The sequence below is a fragment of the Homo sapiens genome, chromosome 2 (assembly GCF_000001405.40).
Source record: "Homo sapiens chromosome 2, GRCh38.p14 Primary Assembly".
Taxonomy (NCBI): domain Eukaryota; kingdom Metazoa; phylum Chordata; class Mammalia; order Primates; family Hominidae; genus Homo; species Homo sapiens.
Window position 1 is genome coordinate 221167734 of NC_000002.12, and position 18797 is coordinate 221186530.

General features: G+C 35.8%; 2 annotated features.

Annotated features, from left to right (window-relative positions):
• Positions 1288 to 1789: an enhancer, noted in NCBI's record as "H3K4me1 hESC enhancer chr2:222033741-222034242 (GRCh37/hg19 assembly coordinates)". NCBI's record gives its function as "activates a minimal SCP1, AML or CMV promoter by ChIP-STARR-seq in primed H9 embryonic stem cells {active_cell/tissue: H9 hESC(primed)}" and the evidence as "EXISTENCE:reporter gene assay evidence [ECO:0000049][PMID:30033119]".
• Positions 1790 to 2289: an enhancer, noted in NCBI's record as "H3K4me1 hESC enhancer chr2:222034243-222034742 (GRCh37/hg19 assembly coordinates)". NCBI's record gives its function as "activates a minimal SCP1, AML or CMV promoter by ChIP-STARR-seq in primed H9 embryonic stem cells {active_cell/tissue: H9 hESC(primed)}" and the evidence as "EXISTENCE:reporter gene assay evidence [ECO:0000049][PMID:30033119]".

Below are 18797 nucleotides of genomic sequence, written 5' to 3' on the forward strand. Positions count from 1 at the left end.
AACAGCTTGAGTTGTGGAAATGCTACCATATTCATGGTTGCAACAGAGCTGACAGAGGGTGCTGAAAACTGTACTGCTTTCCTTGATTATTATTATTTTTTCATTCCAGGTTTGATTTTAGCAAACTCTTTGCAATCTGGGATCTGGCACATAAAGACTACATATGCTCAAGACTAATCCTAGAATAGACAGCAGTAGAGAGTGGCCCAGGGGACAGGTTTAAATCTTTGATGTTTTAAATAGCCAATCCCTTTAGAGTTCTGGGGTCTGTGGTTCGTCTTCTTTCTTGCACTGGCCTTTCCTGGAACCCTTCTCATCAATTTTGGGGCAAAGGCTTCACTTGTTTGATAGTTACAATAACTCATTAACAAGAACACATGCCTTTTTAAAGATTATCATTTACTCATCAACTATTGAGTTATTTCAGTATGCATACAAGGGAGATGGTAGTTTATCTTTATAGATAGGATCATTATATAAGAAACCATGACCTGGTTATAATATAAGCTAGTGTCTAATTTGTAAAATAAGACTACAAATGTTGACAGAAATGAGAGAAAATGCATGCGAACGTATTTCATAATTTTAAAGTATTTCCACAATGCAATCTATTATTCCAAAGTAGAAAGGATTGGCAAAAGAGTTGGGAATCTGAAAAAGTGCTCGAGTTGACAACAGTAATCTGTAGTCAGAGGGTGAAAAGTAAATCTGTAATCTGTGTTTTAGGGGCTTGGCTAATAAGCACTACCCTGGCATAACAGAAAAAAAAAAAGCATCAATTTGATTTCTGGCTGTAACTCTTCTGAGGCAAGTCACTTAACCTCTTTGAGCCTAAGGAGGTTTTTCTGTATATGGGGGAAATATAACTTGCCCTATATGTCATTGTGAGCCTTAAATGAGATGGTGTTTATAAAAGATGACAAAAAAATAGATATTTGATTCTCAAAAAAATGATTTCTATCCATTTTTATAATAATTATTGTGAACTACCATTATTGTGATATGTTACTGTTACAACAAAAATCCCTTTATTTATAGCCGTAGCTTCTTTTTAGAAATAAAGAACAAAGTCTGTGTTATGGCTAAATTTACAATGATTAAAACACTTGTTTTTTAAACAAGGGTGACATTTCATGGAAAAATAAAAGCTTTTCTTTTTAAAAAGGGTACATCGTAGGATGTTTGACAGAAAAATAATTCTTTCATAAAATCTTTACCTGTGAAGTAGTACTAAAAATATTTTTAAATAATTGAAAGACTAAGATCTAGCATAACGAGCAGCTTTTCTTCCTCAGACAATGTTTTTGTTTTGTTTTGTTTACTATAATATTTGCAGTCTGAAGTTAAAAGTGTACGGAGATGGCAACAAATTCTAGGAGCAAATTAAAAACATGTTAAATTAAATACAAATGTACATGTTAAATGCATGTAAAATACAGAAATGCATATAAAATTAAATACATATCATGCGTACATTTTATATATAAATCATATGTTATATATATAATTTTGTTTTAATCATGTTTCATATATAGTCATGAAAGGTGCATGTATCATTAAGAGCAAAGTGGGTTCGCCATCTACTCTTCATTAAAGTAAAAGAGTAAGGATAGATTTATGAGAAACAAAGAAAGGTAAGAATAAAAATGGAGGCCGGGCGCGGTGGCTCACGCCTGTAATCCCAGCACTTTGGGAGGCCGAGGCGGGCGGATCACGAGGTCAGGAGATCGAGACCATCCTGGCTAACACGGTGAAACCCCGTCTCTACTAAAAAAAACAAAAAATTAGCCAGGCGTGGTGGCGGGCACCTGCAGTCCCAGCTACTTGGGAGGCTGAGGCAAGAGAATGGCGTGAACCCGGAAGGCGGAGCTTGCAGTGAGCCGAGATCGCGCCACTGCACTCCAGCCTGGGCGACAGAGCGAGACTCCGTCTCAAAAAAAAAAAGAATAAAAATGGATATTGTATACAAAAATAATGTTTATTAGCAAAAAGAATTGGAAAACTTGAAGATCCAATGATAGTATCATGGTTAAGCCCATAATGATATTGCCTAAGATGAATATGTATACCAAAGGTCCCACACCCTGGTCCATAGACCGGTGCAAGTACTGGTCCCTGGCCTGTTAGGAACTCCACCGCACAGCAGGGAGTGAGCAGCGGGTGAGCAGGCGAAGCTTCATCTGTATTTACAGCCACTCCCCATCACTCACATCACCACCTGAGCTCTGCCTCCTGTCAGATCAGTGGTGGCAATTAGATTCTTATAGCGCAAACCCTATTGTGAACTGCGCATGTGAGAGATCTAGGTTGCAAGCTCCTTATGAGAAACTAATGCCTGATGATCTGTTATTCAGCCCCAGATAGGACCAACTAGTTGCAGGAAAACAAGCTCAGGACTCCCAGTGATTCTACACTATGGTGCATTGCATAATGATTTCATTGTATATTACAATGTAATAATAATAGAAAAAATGTGCACAATAAATGTAATGTGCTTGAATCATCCCCACACCATGCTCCCTTCCCCAGGTCTGTGGAAAAATTGTCTCCCACGAAACTGGTTCCTGGTGCCAAAAAGGTTGGAAACCACTGATATAAATGTTAGTTTTCCCTTCTCTTCAGGGCATACGTTCCAAGGCCCCCAGTGCAGGCCTCTAACCATGTTATGTGGATAGTACCAAACCCTAATACACTATGTTTTTTCCTGTAACTAACTTTGATTTATAAATGAGGCACAGTAAGAGATGAACAATACCTAATAAAAAAAGAACAATTATAATCATATGTTGTAGTAAAAGTTATGAATGGGGTCTCTCTCTCTCTCTCTGTCTCTCCAAGTTCTCTGTAATATTTTTGGAACATGGTTGACCACGGGTAACTGAAACTGAGGATAAGGAAGGGCTGCTATACTTTATCATCCAAAGCACTCATTTTATTTTTGTTAATATACATGTATTCTTCAGTTATCAGCTCAGCCAATGGTAGAAGTAACTCTAGTGCTAACCCAGGAACAGCTGTTGATAAAGAGAGGTCTGTGAATTGGGAGGAGCTGGGTTTAATGCATGCAGCCAGGGGCCCTTGTCAATAGCTGGCCCATGTGGCCTGGAGGCACAGCTTCTCATTCATTCTTAGCAGCATTGTATCACATTATATTTTGATAACTCTTGACTTCATGGCATACCTTTTCATACATTGGCCTGTAGATTATTTCATTTATTTCTTACAGAAACTTTCACAGAGGAACACAAGGCTTAGAGGAGCTAATGCATTTTCCAAGAAAATAGCAGCTTTCAAATTCAAGGGTCTTTTCTTTCACACTACAACTGTCTCTGAGATAAACCCAGATTGACTTCTAGTTACCCTCTTCCTCATCTTACAGAACAAAAAAACAAAACAAAACAAAAAAAACATGTATTGACAGTGAATCTCTGGGGTTGAACTATAGTAATCATAAGTACAATGGCAATCGTAACTCAAATAGGTTTTAAAAATATTTACAAAGTATTAAGCACTGTGCCTGGCTCATAGTAAGTGCTATGTGTTTGTTAAATAAAAATGAATTAAAAATGTTTTTCTTGAGTACAGGAACAAAACGTCTGTTTTAGAACTCAGGATAGATTGATGGATATAACCATTCTTAAAACTCACGTCAAGGGGTACAAAGTTTCAGTTATACAAGATGAACAAGTTCCAGAGATCTACTAGACAGCGTACTGTCTATAGTGAATAAGATGTATGATATACTTAAAAGTTTGCGGAGGATAGATTTTATCTTAAGTGTTCCTATCATCATCATAATCATTATCATTATAAATAAAGCGGAAGAAAATTTGAAGTTGATGAATCTGTTTATGGCATAGGTGGTGGTGAGGGTTTCACAGATGTATGCTTATCTGCAAACTCATCAAATTGTATACATTAAACATATACAACTTTTTGTATGTCAACCTTCCTCAATAAAATGATTTAAAAGGAACAAAAAAACTTCAAAGGAGTAACATGCCACAATTCCTTGAGGAAGATGTTTTATAAACTGCCCATCTTCACACTAAGTGCTATTTATGGAGAAAAGACAGCACTGAATTCCAAGTGGTTAACAATTCTAGAAATCGTAGTGTACGTGCCACTTTAGCTGAAATGTTACTTAGTAAGTGGTCAGTGACTCTTCTAGGATCCCTGACCTGGTTCTTTTCTGCCAGCCTCCCTAATCTGCCAACTTCTCAAAGACCCTCTCCAGAATGGACTAGTACCAGCTTATCTGGACAGACTTTTGCCACACCTTTGCAAAGCTTTCTAGCTACCAAAGACCAGTATCTTCATCCCACACTTGCCTCAGGTATGGCTTCCAATAGACTGCATATAAATATTCTGGTCTGGCCAAAGGATTCTTATGAAAATTATCTGATGCTTTCCTGTACATTTTATCACATTATTCTGCAGAGAGAGAATATCTCCATTTTCCTCTTGCCACTCAGATTTTACCCCTCTGCCAGGTTCTGAGTCAAATCTCACCACCTTCTTAGAACTTTAACATGGGTAGCAAAAAGAGGTTAATTTTTAAATCCTTGGTTCTATCATTTATTACCTATGTGACCTTGGGCAAATCATTTCCCACTCCCACTGTGATTTTGACTTTATCTGTAAAACAGAAAATGCCGACTTAGAATTTGTGTAAGGATTACTGAAAATAAATGTAAAGCACATACTAGGAATTTAATAAATGATATTTCAAAAATTATAACTCAAGGAAGAATTGCTCTTTTTAGCTCTTTAGAATTTATCTAGCATTACTTTTAGCATTCTTGTTTCATGCTGTGTTAGCTTAAAATATATATCCACAAATTATTTGATCCTCCTTTCATCAAGACATTGAGTCTAATTCCTTCACCTTGAATATGAGTTGAGTGGGGCTGGCCTTAGTGACTTGTTTCCAGTGAATGGGATGAACTGGGCAAGACATGATTTGATTTGCAAAGCCAGGTCATAAAAGGTAATAGAGCTTCTTACTGGCTCTCTCTCTTTGGGGACACTTATCTTTGGAACACAGCTATCATGCAGATAAGGAAGCCCAGGCAACCTGGAGAAGCCCATATGGAGGAGAACTGAGGCTCCTAAACTTCAGCCTCTGCTGCACTTCCAGGTGGCAGCCAGTCCCTGTCTTTCCAGCCTTGTGAGAGAGCCATCTTGGGACCACATCCTCCAGGCCACAGCTAAGCTATTCTACCTTGCACTGAGCAGAGCAGAGACCAGCCTTCCCTGACAAACCCTGCTCAAACTGTAAATTAATGATTGGAATGAATGATTGCTGTTTTTTAAAGTCACTGCACTTTGAGGCCATTTGTACTCCACAATAGATAACAGGAACAGTACCTATATTCAATGCCATGATCTGGAAGTCACCTCTTATAGGCAGATGTCCAAATCTCCTTAGAGAATTTAAACATCTGTATGTTAAAAACATTCAGAGCTTAATAAATGCTTTGTTATTTTTAATTAACTTAATTGATTTGGACATTCTCATACGACCAAGGGAGCTATTTTTTCCTTTGTGTATTTGAATTACATAGGTATTTATGGCTAGAAAAAGAAGGCATTGCCCCCCAAAAATGTTATTTTTCAATTTTCTCCTTTGAGATTCTTATATTGAAGTTAAGGTGATCAAAACAACTTTTAAGAAGCTGTTACTTAAGCTGAAGGTTACATTTTACAAGCTAGAAATTGCTTGTCACCCTGAAATATTTGGAAGAAAAATATATAGTATTGGAAGTTTAAATAGGTAGAGGTGACATTTTCTCATGACAGGAACTGTCTTTCTCATGTACCAGCTTTCGTTGTTCACCACTCATTATATGACAGATTGGTATCCTGAGTTTTAAAAATGAAGAACAAAATATAACCCCCTGAGTGGATTAGTTCTGAGATATGGAGAATGAGTACAGCCCACTGATTTTGGTATTTTGGAGTCTCAGAAATCCTATACTCTTCAATAAAGTAGGGGATGCAAGGAAGAGGGAGCTATTCAGCCATTATAAATTATTTAATCATCTCCTTTACCTTCATGGAGAAAATAATATAAGTGAGAAATTGTATTTCTTTTTTAAAATAACAATAAAAATATGGTATGGAAGTATAAGTAGACTCACGTAAATACATAGTGCCCAGTGATTTCCAAAGGGTGGTTGCTAGAAACGGACCCCGAAGAGAAGCCCTGCTGAATGCCATGGGGAAAAGTTAACATCTAATGTAACAGCCTTAAAAACCTTCAGGCAACTCTAGGGAGAGACAGATGTACTAGTGGTCCCAAGAAGCTTTCACATCTCCCTAAAAAACCGAGCCAAGTTTTTGAGTCATTTTCTATGCAGTATTTAAGGGCCAGAAGGAAGATGGAGGAGTCAATCTGGTTAATTTAGGCAAAAGCAGAATTTGGACTTGAATGAACCTGGTGAGTCTGCTTGACTGTATACTTTTTTCAGCTGACTAAACCTGATTCTGGATCATCACTATTTTTGTTCAAATGTGGGCTCAAGTTGGCATTAGTTATATCTAGGTTATTTCTCTGTGAACACAAAAATATTCACTTATTAGATGTCATCTATCAAAATCCGTTCATAGGTCTGCACTGTGATAGATTTCAATCCTTGACTCTGAGGTTTGTAGGTAGGTCAAGAAATAATCTTATAAATGTGAAGTGAGAAAGAGAAGCAAAGGGTAGAAAGAACATAAATGACCGTAATCTAATTTACAAAGAAATTGGTATTGTAGAAAGAACTTTCATTATAAATAGTTATATTTATAACGGTAAATAATTTATAAATAATTGATAATAATTGTATGTTATATATTAATTAAATTGTTTTTAAAGATTGTTTATAATTGAGACCCAGGTACTGAGATGAATTGGTTGCAGACTTGCTTTAGCATATAGGATGTTTATCTGCCTCCTTCCTCAACTGTACAGTCAAGGCATTATTAGACTGTGGGGAAGCTAAGCTTCTTCTCTGCATGAATAAATTTCTATGTTAAGTTCAGCAGGAGAAAATAGAAAGAAATTCTGTATAAGTTTAGAAAAAAACTAATAAATCAGCTCTACATAACAACAAATGAATATCCATTCCAATTACACATATCTCATACTCTCCAAAAAGCTGAAATTAAAGATGGATAATACCAATCTGGGACCTATTCTGCTTTTTAAAATTAGACAATTGTGTACTAAATAGCTGTTTTAAAGAAAAAGAAACTAGTTAAACTTTTTAAATCCCAACTGTCAACAAATACATTTCTATGAACTTTAGAAATGTACTTTGGCAACCATTTACCAAGACAGCTTATTTGAGGGACACTTAACAAGTCAATTGCGGATAAATCCGACAGATGAAACATGAGTGTTCTGCCTGACTTTGTCTTATGAAGTTGTCTTGTTAGAAAATTTTTAAAGCATGCTTGGAATTTTCAGTCCTTGATGTGATTTCCATGTTGATATTTAATCTGATTAAGTTTAAACCATCTGTCTATAAACATTTGGTAATTTTTTCCCTAGCTTTTAAAAAATCAGATATACAAGAAGTAAAATATAATAAACCAACCTGTGGTAATTTCATTGAATTGTGGTATTTTAGGATCATTTCCTGCCTATGAGAATTAAGGCCATTTTAACATATATGTACATATGTTACACACACACACACACACACATATTTTTAAAATTATTCCATAAAGTTTCTTCCTTAGGGACAATGTTTACAGATTAGAATTCAAAAACCAATGAGAACAAGATTCAATTTTAAGTTACATTTACACTTTCTTTTCTCAAGTGAAAAACCAGTTTTATTTATTTTATATACAATATCATACAGATTAATGGGCCTTGATATCAAAAGCTTTCAATATACTTCTGTTTTAAAAGTAATAACATTTATAGTGATTTTTTTGCATTTTTATTCAAAAATATGTCTATATATTAAAATATACCATTGAAATGTTCATATAAACATATACTTTTCTTAAGTTGATATGACTGTGAAAATGAGGCTAAAAATACCCAAAGATATATTTTTGATTGTGTTTGTGTGTGTACATGTGCAGTGTGTGTGTGCACAAATAATTATTTTTAATATCTAACTGGTGGACAAATGTTTCAACCAAAGGCTGAAGGAGGAATGTCAGAATTACTTCTTTTAAAATCTGGCACATGCTGAGGTCATTTTAGCAGGTTATAAAATGCCTTCTGGGTGGAGATTGCTGGCTTCATCTTGGCCTAGAAAAAGTAATAGTTTCAGAATTCTGTTTAAACTGGTAGGAGTCTTTGGTAATGGATAGGTTTAGTGTTCCCTAGGAAGAATGGAAGAAAAAAACTTTATTCTTAAATATGCTTTGCAAAATAACAACCTGCAGGCTGAGAAAAGTCATAAAATGGAAAACACTGCCATTCAGCTGAGTAAAAATGACTTCCCTCTTCTTTAAGAATGTTATTTTTATTTATTCTCCATATTAAAAGAAAAAATAACCGCCACCCTCTGCACCAATAATGCATTTTAAGTAATTCCAGTTTTTAAATGGCATTAACACCTACACAAAATCCATACCTCTATTTGTGAACAAACATTTACAAGTATCATTATTCAGAAGCCATTTGAAATATAAAATGATAAGTAAAAATAACACCCTCAATTTGTGTATTTCAGTCATTTTATGTGACCTTTTCTTTCATATCCACTTTGCTGTGTTTCTTTACCAACCTATAGTACCAAGCATAAAAAAGGGGAATTATTATTTCCAGTCTGTTCAAATAGTTGACTAGTTTGATCTTATAAGTCATACTAGCCTAACTGACACTTTAAAAAATATGTCTTTTTCCAAAAAAGAGAAAAAAAAGTGGGATGAAAAGTTACTTGTAAGAGAAGGAAAAATATCACCAAGGGATTTATTCTTTGATTGGGACACCTGTAAATCTCTAGTCTCGGCTCTGTGCTGTCCTCTGCTTAGCTATCATTTTTTTTAATCTCCTGACATATACCCCTACGTCTGCAATGGGAGATTCCATAGTTTTTATACTCCCACGAACCCCAGTCCTATATCCCTACCTCTCAACAGAAGCAGATGGCCTTTCTTCCTGCTTTCCTGGACAGCGGCCAAATAAACTGTTTTCCTCCACTGACATGTGTGTCTTCACCCTCGCTTTTAATCCCTAGTCTCTCCAGAAGACATCTTCTCTCCCCATCCATTGCTAACCCCTGCACCTGTGTTCGCAAGCTCTGTTTTTTCTTGCTTTTCTTATGTCTCATTTCTTTCTACTCATTATATACATGCTCAGGTCAACTTAATTATAAAAATAAAATTTTCCTTCTCTCTTGCTATCTCTTCCATCTATTAATATTATTTTTTCTTTTACTGCCCTTGCACTGCCTAGCTATTTGAAAGAGAAGTCTATTCCTTCTATCTTTCCTCTTCGAATAATCTTTTTCCTTTTAATGGGTGAAATACAGCTTCAGTTCTTCTCACTCTACTGAAGACCTCCAAATGACTTCAGTGATATTCCTTAGACCTCATTTTCTTAACCTTGCTTGGAAAAGTGGCAAACACTGAGGAAGAGAAGCCAACTGTCTACCAAAATGTACTCACCTCTCCTATAGCACAGACTTATTGCTAGAAAGGGGCCGCCTGACTCTTGTAATTGCATCTGGCTGTGGCTAGTACTTGCCAATGGAATATAAGCAGAAGGACACAATTCACTTTCAGATTAAAGACTTTCCCATGTCTCTTCAGCCAATAACAGCAAGATCCTCACGGGTGCTGGTGCCACCAGATGGAAGGACCCATTGTCCTTGAATCACCCATGAACCAGGACCACCTGCCTTAGACTGTTGTGTAACAGGAAATAAACTTCTATTGTGGTAAGCCATTAAAATGCATTTGTGAGTTGGTGACCATACACAGCCCATCCTAACCCAAGAAAATACTATAGGCCAGTATCTTGCTGTGAAACATGTTTCTCCCTAGGATTTATGTCATGTATCTTCCTGATTCTTCCACTCTGTCTGATATCCCTTCCCGGTTCCCTCTAATTATGTCTCTTCCAACTCCAACTTTATAAATGAAATGATTCTGGCCTCAAGATTTTTCTTTCTATCACTCATCTTTCCTAGTCAATGTTCTCTTTCATGTTTACCTGCCCTTGGTTCCAGTGACCTTCTCCGTGAACATGACTTTAAGATCCATACTCTTGGCCCATTAGCTCATTTTCATAGCTCTACTCTATTAAGTAAATTTTGGTTGCTTGAGCTAGCAGAGGAAAAATAATAGAATTTTTTTTGAAAGATGGAAAAAAGTCAATCAATTAAACATGGGAAGTGTCAGAATCAGGACGCCCCACGTAGCTCAGTTTGTGGACTTTGGGGTCCTCCACATCTTCTACTCTAAGGCAGTTTATTCAATATACTGTTTAGTTCAGCTGACAATCTTTCTATAGCAAGATTTCCCTAGTGAAGAAGGCAGTGTGCTGATTTACATTCTGGTATGAGCTCCTTATCTAGTGCAGGCGAGCACTTTGATAGACACAAGCCTCGGGTGCTACCACTGACATGAAACAGCTACCAGTCACCCTAGACACAGAATCGGATTGGCCAGCTTGAACAAATTGCTTTAAGCTAGAATAGAATCATGTGTTGAGTTTTAGAAGGATTATAATCCTTGGAATGACGTTTGCACTTCCACTTCCTCACAGACAATGTGACCCTGAAATGTAGCCTTGATTCACCAACAGTAGCCTGTGACTGAGCTAGAATCTGGAGTTATAACAGACTATAAGATAAAACCTAGCTAGCTCTATGCTTAATGAGTTGGTTACAACATGAATGATTAACATAATTGATTACTTATCTAAGGTGCTATGCCATGTAGGAAATAGTTTTCCTGCATCCCTTCATTCATGTCTCACAATTATAAAAGTATTATTAGAATGTCTACTTTATGATAGAAAAACCTGAATGTAGAATGATACTGTTAATTCTTCCTACCCTAGATAAATAATTGAGTGACATAAAATCTCAAGAATACTATATTAGAATTTTAGTCATCACCAAAATTCCACAAAATAGCTTAATACAACTGAAGAAATTGATTACATGATGTTAAAGGATCATTATTTTTTCATTCAACAAATATTGGCTGTGTGTTTTTTCTATGCCAGATCCTGTGCTTGGAACTAGTAATATAGGGATGTAAGGTTTCATAACTCTTCTAAAGAAACTCACAGCTTGGCAAGGAAGAATGATAAGTGAACCAGGGAGTGTAGATGGCCACGTTAGAGACAGGAGTAACATGAGCTGCCATAAAGATCTACATGAAAGCATGGAGTGAAGCACACATCTAGCCAGACATTATGGGAACAGGGAGAATTCCAAAAGGCCATGCTGAGTTGACTTTCACTTTTGTAAATATTGTATGATAATAAAAGTACTATATGTAGAATGCTTGTGAAGTACAGGCAAGTCAAAAGAAGAAGACATAAGTCAAATGCAATCTTGCTACCCAAAGATAATCACAGTAAACATTTGATATATTCCCATCTAATCTTTGTCTAGGATTATATATACACAGTTTTAAAACACAACGTAAATCATACTATATATAGTATTATAACCTGCTTCTTCACTTAGTAATATTCCATAAATATTTCCAATGCCATTAAAATGTTCAGAAAACTTTGTTTTTCATGGCTATATAGTATTTCACCATATGAAGTATATCAGTTAGGGTTGTTGGTTGCAAGGCATAGAAATGGACTCTGGCTGATTTAAGAATTGAGGAATGTATTAAAAGGATACTGGGTATATCATAATAGCATTGAGAAGGCTAGAGATCCAGGCTCAAAAAATGGCGTGAACAATAGAAGGCACAGAACTTTCTGGTAAAAAATATTGCTGTTGCCACATCTTCCATCTGGATGCTGCAGCTTCCAGCTCAACACTACAGCCACTACTGACCTGGAAACTAGATGCTGCTTCCAGCGTTATGTTTTACCTCTTCCAGACTGAATTTTCTACTGTCTATGTGTCTTTATGTAATTAGTTCCCAATTCAAATTTGAGGACTAAAGGATTTGATTTGGCTGAGCCCAAGTCAAATGCTGATATTCCATCAGAAAGGAAAGCTGGGTAAGTGAGTGTCATAGGCTGAAGTGTGTACCCCAAAAATGTGTATGTTGAAGTCCTAACCCCCTAGTTCCTCATAATGGGACTGTATTTGGAGATGAGGTCTTTAAAGAGGTAAACAGGTTATTTTAACCTAATGACCTTATTTTAAGGTCATTAAGTTGGGCTCTAATCCAACATAACTGATGTCCTTATGAGAAGAGGGAATCTGGGGACAGACAGGTACAGAGAAAAGACCATGTGAAGATGCAGGGAGAAGAGAGAATGACCTGTAGGAGTTCCTCTTTCAGTTGTTCCATATGAAACAACATCACACAAGTGTCTGTCTTTAGTGAACATGAACAGATAGTTTGACAACTAAAATTACCTTTAAAAAGAGGTTCTCACAACCAAACTGCAAATTAGAATCACTGTGGGAAGACTTTTAAAATATCAACACCAGGGCCCCATCTCTAAAGATACAGGTTTGATTGTTCTGGGGTGGGGCAGAGTCATCATTATTTTGTTAACTTCTCAAGTGATTTTTTGTATACATAGCCAATTTCTTTAAATTGCTTTAAAGAAACTTAGGGAAAAAAATCAGATAATTAGCTTTAGAAACTGAGAAAAGTGGTAATAATATCTCTTCTAAATAAGTGAAGTGCTAGAATATGTTCAAAGATTTTAAAATCATTATCTAAACAACAGTAATTCTTTCCATACTAATCTATAGATTCAGTGTAATTCTAACCAGAAGCTGAGAAGGATTGTTTATACAACTTGACAAGCTCATTTTAAGATTTTTATGAAAGAGAAAGGAACTCAAAGTAGCCAAAATACTCATGAATAAAGAGGGGAAAATTCTCCCCTCCTCAAATACTTAGACTAAGAAACTATAAGAATTAAGATGGTAGAGTGAGACGTCGAGAAAGACAATTGGCAAATAGAATACAGAATACAGAAAGAAATTTATGACTAAATAACATAAATATGCAATAGAGGTGTCATGACAGATTGCTACATATAGAACCCAGAAATTGTTATTTGTATGGAAAAAAGATTTAAAACATTCCTATATTACACAATACATAAAAATCAATTTCAGATGATAAAACATAAAACTGTCAGTAGAATTTTAATGATTTTAGAAAAAGCATATATAATCTTACATTGAGAAAAGCTTTTTTTTTTTTTTTTTTCTTTTGAGACAGAGTTTTGCTCTTGTTGCCCAGACTGGAGTGCAATGGCACGATCTCAGCTCACTGCAACCTCCGCCTCCTGGGTTCAAGCGATTCTTCCGCTTCAGCCTCCCAAGTAGCTGGGATTACAGGTGCCAGCCACCATGCTTAGCTAAATTTTGTATTTTTAGTAGAAATGGGATTTCACCATGTTGGCCAGACTGGTCTCGAACTCCTGAGCTCAGGTGATCCATCAGGCTCAGCTTCCCAAAGTGCTGGGGTTACAGGTGTGAGCCACTATGCCCGGCCAAGATTTATTAAATAAAACATTAAAAGGTGTTAAGCATAAAAGCAAACTTAATAAATCTTTTTTTGAGGGAGATGCGGTCTCACTCCGTTGCCCAGGCTGGAGTGCAGTGGCATAGTCACAGTTCGTTACAACATCCTAGGCTCAAGTGATCCTTCCACCTCAGCTTCCTGAGTAGCTGGAACTACAGGCATGCACCACCACACCCAGCTAATTTTTTGTATATATATCTATATATATATATATATATATACATATATTTATATATATATATACATATATTTATATATATATTTATATATTTTTATATATATTTATATATATTTTTATATATATTTATATATATTTTTTATATATATTTATATATATTTTTATATATATTTATATATATATATTTTTATATATTTTTTTATATATATTTTCATATATATATATACACACTTTTTTTTTGTAGCGATGGGGTTTTGCCATGTTGCCAAGGCTGGTCTCAAACTCCCGGGCTAAAGATATCCATTTCCTCAGCCTCCCAAAGTGCTGAGATTACAGGCGTGAGCTACCACACCCTGCCTAAATTAAATCTTTTTTTTTGGAAAAAACAAACAATACACATAAAAAGTTGACAAAAACATAAACAAGTAGTTCTAGACAAGATAATTTGCATAGTCAATAATATGGAAAAATGTTCAAACATTATAATGAGGAAAATGTATATCAAGACCAAAATTAGAAATCATGTTTGATTAACAAATATTAAGAAATCTGATAATTCAAAGTATTGGATGCCTTATTCCTGCTACTGAAAATATATAAATTCATTGACCACTTTGGATGGTAATACAGTATTATATATATTTTTCTTATCTTATGACCACAATTTTATTTCTTGATGCAGACCAACAGAAATCATTCTACATGTGCTTCAGAATAGATGTATAAAACTATTCATAGGAAAAGGTTTATAATAGCAAAATTCTGGAAAAAAATTTAAAAATCTGTAATGGAAAAATATATGAAGAATTGTGGTATATTCATGATGTGGAATATTATGCAACAATGAACATTTAAGAGTAGTTACTTACCACAACATGCACGCAAGAATTAACATGTTAACTGAAAGCGTGAGTCTCAGAAGCCTACATGAAGGATGACACTCTTAAATAAAGCTCAAAAACAAAGGTATACCATATGCTGTTAGGCCTTAAAATCTATGTAATCAAACTAATTATAAAAATAAAGGGATGACCAACACAACTGTCAGGATAGTCATTACTTCACTGTAAGGTAGGGAAACAACACATGAGTTGATGTAAAGTGTTGATAATATTTTAGTTCTTAGGTGTATTTTGATGTTCACAAAACAAATTACATGAATAAACAAGAGAGGTATGCAATCATAATTGGTTATGAAACAACAGCTATAATAGATCCAATTCTGTGGACTTAATTAATCAGTATAATTTCCAGTGTTGTTTTTAGATCTTAGCAACCACTGAGGTGATATTAAGACTATTGGCATTTTTATTTATATACTTTATATATTATGTTAAATACTTCCTGAGTGGCAGTCAACAGGCCAGATGTTATGGCTTATACCTGTAATCCCAGAACTTTGGGAGGCTGAGGCAGGCAGATCACTTGAGCTCACGAGTTTGAGAACAACCTGGGCAATATGGTGAGACCCCTGTCTCTACTAAAAATCCAAAAAACAAAAAATTATCCATGAGTGGTGGCCCAAGTCTGTGGTCTGTGGTCCCAGCTACTCGAGAGGCTGAGGTGAGAAGATTGCTTGGGCCCGGGGGCTGGAGTTGCAGTGAGCCAAGACTGTGCCGCTGCACTCTGCCTGGGTAAAAGATTGAGACCCTGTCTCAAAAAAAAAAAAAAAAAAAAAAAAGAATGTGGCAGTTAATGTAGATGCATTTGTATTTGTTGAAAGGAGAATATATTAATGTGTTTATGTATTGCTTGAAGCATGGTTTGAGACATTTTGGTCTCAAATAACAGAACATACTACATACAATGTCTTGAGAACATGAAAGGTACAAAGTTCTCATAACTTGAAAATTCCAGAGGTAATTAAGCTGAGGTTCTGTTTTGCCCTCATGTCTCTGCAATTCTTTCAGCAACACCTTTATACTTTTGCTAGCCTCATCCTCAAGTATTTTTTTTCCTTATGGTTTCAAGACTTGCATCCATAGGCAATGCAATTTTCTTTTTCAGAAGAAAAAATTCCCAAACCACAAATTAAAGTTTCAGCTAGAAAACACCACATACAGACTCTGGTGTACCTGGCCATGCTTGTGCCAATCCCTGTAGAAAATGGAGGGAAATTATACTGATTTTCTTAAATCAATCTCTTGAGTCGAGGGCTGATGAAAGGCAGTATTCCATATAATCTGAACTTTTGGGGTTCTATTAGGAAGGAGGAAAGGGAAATGTATGCCAGAAAAGTACCAAAATATTCACTGCATTTAATTAGGAGTTAATTAGAAATCAATCATTTTTTAAATATCAAAATTAAAATTAGTGGCAGAAATTTTTCATATATAGTATATATTCATTCTTTAGGAATCTCTTTTTTAGTAGTATCATATAATCCAATTCCTAGCTCTCTTTTTTATTTTTTGTTTAATTTTTTATTTCATTTAATATTCTGTGGAAGTAAATTTGACTATAAGAACCAGCATTTCAAGCCAGCAAAGCAATAATTATGCAATTAACTTTAACTAGCCAAAATGCAGTGGGGTTCAAAAACCCTCTCTTACTTCAGATGCTTAATAATACTAATTTTTCAACCATAAAAGAAAGTACACAATGTTTAAGGAGGCAATTTACTAGCCTTCTAGATGAGTTCCTAATAAAAAGCTGTTCTGCAAATGAAAAAGGAAACAAAGAACTTAATGTACTTAGATTTCCAGATTTCAATGGAATGTCTTCCATCACAAATTATTTCCTGCTCCTTGATCTTCACAAGCCAATGTTTGCTATCTGCTTTAAGTTTTTGACAAATCATTGCTTTATGCTTAAATAACCACATTCACAAATGCCATCTCCATGAAATACAAGGGTCCATCATCAGATAATTAATGCAGCAAAGCAACTGTGGGTACCAGTGTGTCTCAAGTGGTTGCTGTTCAAGGTTAACCTCCTTGCTTTGACATCATAAAATGATAGTGTACCAAGTTTCAAAGGGCCTGTTTTAATTAAAATATACAGGCATTGCTAATAGGAATGAAATGTCATCAGACCTGAAAATCTCTGTGCAAACATTTTCAGTGCTGTTATTCTGCACTATAACGCCACACTTCATTGTCAGTGAGGCAGGCAGAATAATAGTGCCTAAAGATGTCTATGTCCTAATCCCTGGAACCTATGAGCGTGTTACCTGAAGTGGCAAATGGGACTTTACAGCTGTCATTCAGTTCAGGTCCCTGAAATGGAAAGATTATCCTGGGTTATCTCAGCGGGCCTGACATAATCACGTGGTCTTTAAAAGCGAGAATCTTTCCTGGTTGTGATCAAAAGGTGATTTCTACCCAAGAAGAATCAAAGGTGCAAAAATTCTGGCTCTGAAGATGGAGGAAACAGTCCAAAAGCCAAGGGATGTGGGCAGCTTCTAGAAGCCAGAAAAGGGAAGGAAACAGATTTTCCTCTAGGGCCTCCCTAAGGAAGGCAGCCTTGCCAAAACTTTGATTTTAACCCAATGAGACCCATGTCAGACTTCCAGAACCATAAAATAACGAATTTGAGTTGTTTTAAGTCATGAAGTTTGTGGTGATTTGTTGCTGCAGCAATAGGAAATGAATACAGTCAGCAAATACTGCAATATTTGAAGTATATTCAAGATGTTAAATACATACAAATTACCTCTCATTTAAATGAGGTTTTATATATCTTATATGTTGATTGTGACATTTGCTTTTTATTTCTTCTGCAAATTCCCAGTTCCTCCGTTAAAAAAGAGATAATTTCCTTTAATAGGGTTGATTAGGTTAAACCTTTTTTGAATATTCTTTATTTCTCAATATAATGAGATTAATAATAATTAAGTAACTTTGAAATGCCATTTCTGTAGTTCCTTCAGAGCTTAACTATAGCGCTTGATTCTGTTCTTAGAGTATAAATTTTGAAGTGTGCCTCCCTGTGGGTAAAAGAGACTTCTTAAAAAAGCGTCAGTCAGCAAGCAAAGTGCTGAGCTCTACCCTTTACTGATTTTCCATATCATGGAAAGAACAACCCTAAAATCTGAATTCTGTCACTCTGCAGAATCTACTCCATCCCAGGGATGTAAAGCAATGTTGCACCCAGGGATTGCTACTGGCATGTGGTACCCTCCTGAGCAGAAGCGTGGGAAGCTGATCTTGACCACAGACCTGATGTGTGTACCCTGTTGTTGTTGTTGTCATGTGCTGAAGGACTGCACCCCATCACTTTGGCTTCCACTTCATTTCTGCATTACCCACTCCACCTGCAAGGCTTGCCCCACAGTGACTCCCATGGCAAGTCTCATCCTAGTTACACCCTGTTTGCTATTTCCAAATTGTTTTGCTTTCCTTCTAGAAAATGTAGACAGAAGGGTGCAGGTGTTTTGCCCACATCTGCATAATGTAAACTGTGTATGTATATACATATATAGTTGTTTCCAGGAGCCCATCTCTGTGGGATAATGTGTAATTCAAACACCTACCAGACTGAAGGCAGCTTTTGTACACTTGGCTTCTGAAAGAGTTGCTGCTTCCCTCTTGCACGTAATAAAACTGTGATATCCATCTAAGTTTATGCATATTTGTTCATATCCTAGTATACAGCAACTGCAAGAAATAGACCACAGACAAGTTCTAGGACTTGCTCTAGAGAGAGAAAAAGTATATATTTGTGCTATTTCATCAGCCTCTTTAATCACCTGTATCATGACGGAAGTGACACCCTTGTCAGTTTCTTTGATCACCTGTATCATGGCAGAAGTGATACCCTGCCTAAATAGGACTCTATTCATAAAATCTGCACATTGTTTTCCACAGTAAGAAATTGCAATTCTAGATTTTTTTCTGATTGTACAAGAGAGCGCCCTTTTAGAACAACACATTAAATTAGAAGATATGCATATTTTTAAAAAAATCATGAAATCTTACCGCTCTAAGATTACTTCCAAGAATAGTATGCAGAGTGTGCTGTGCTTTTCTGT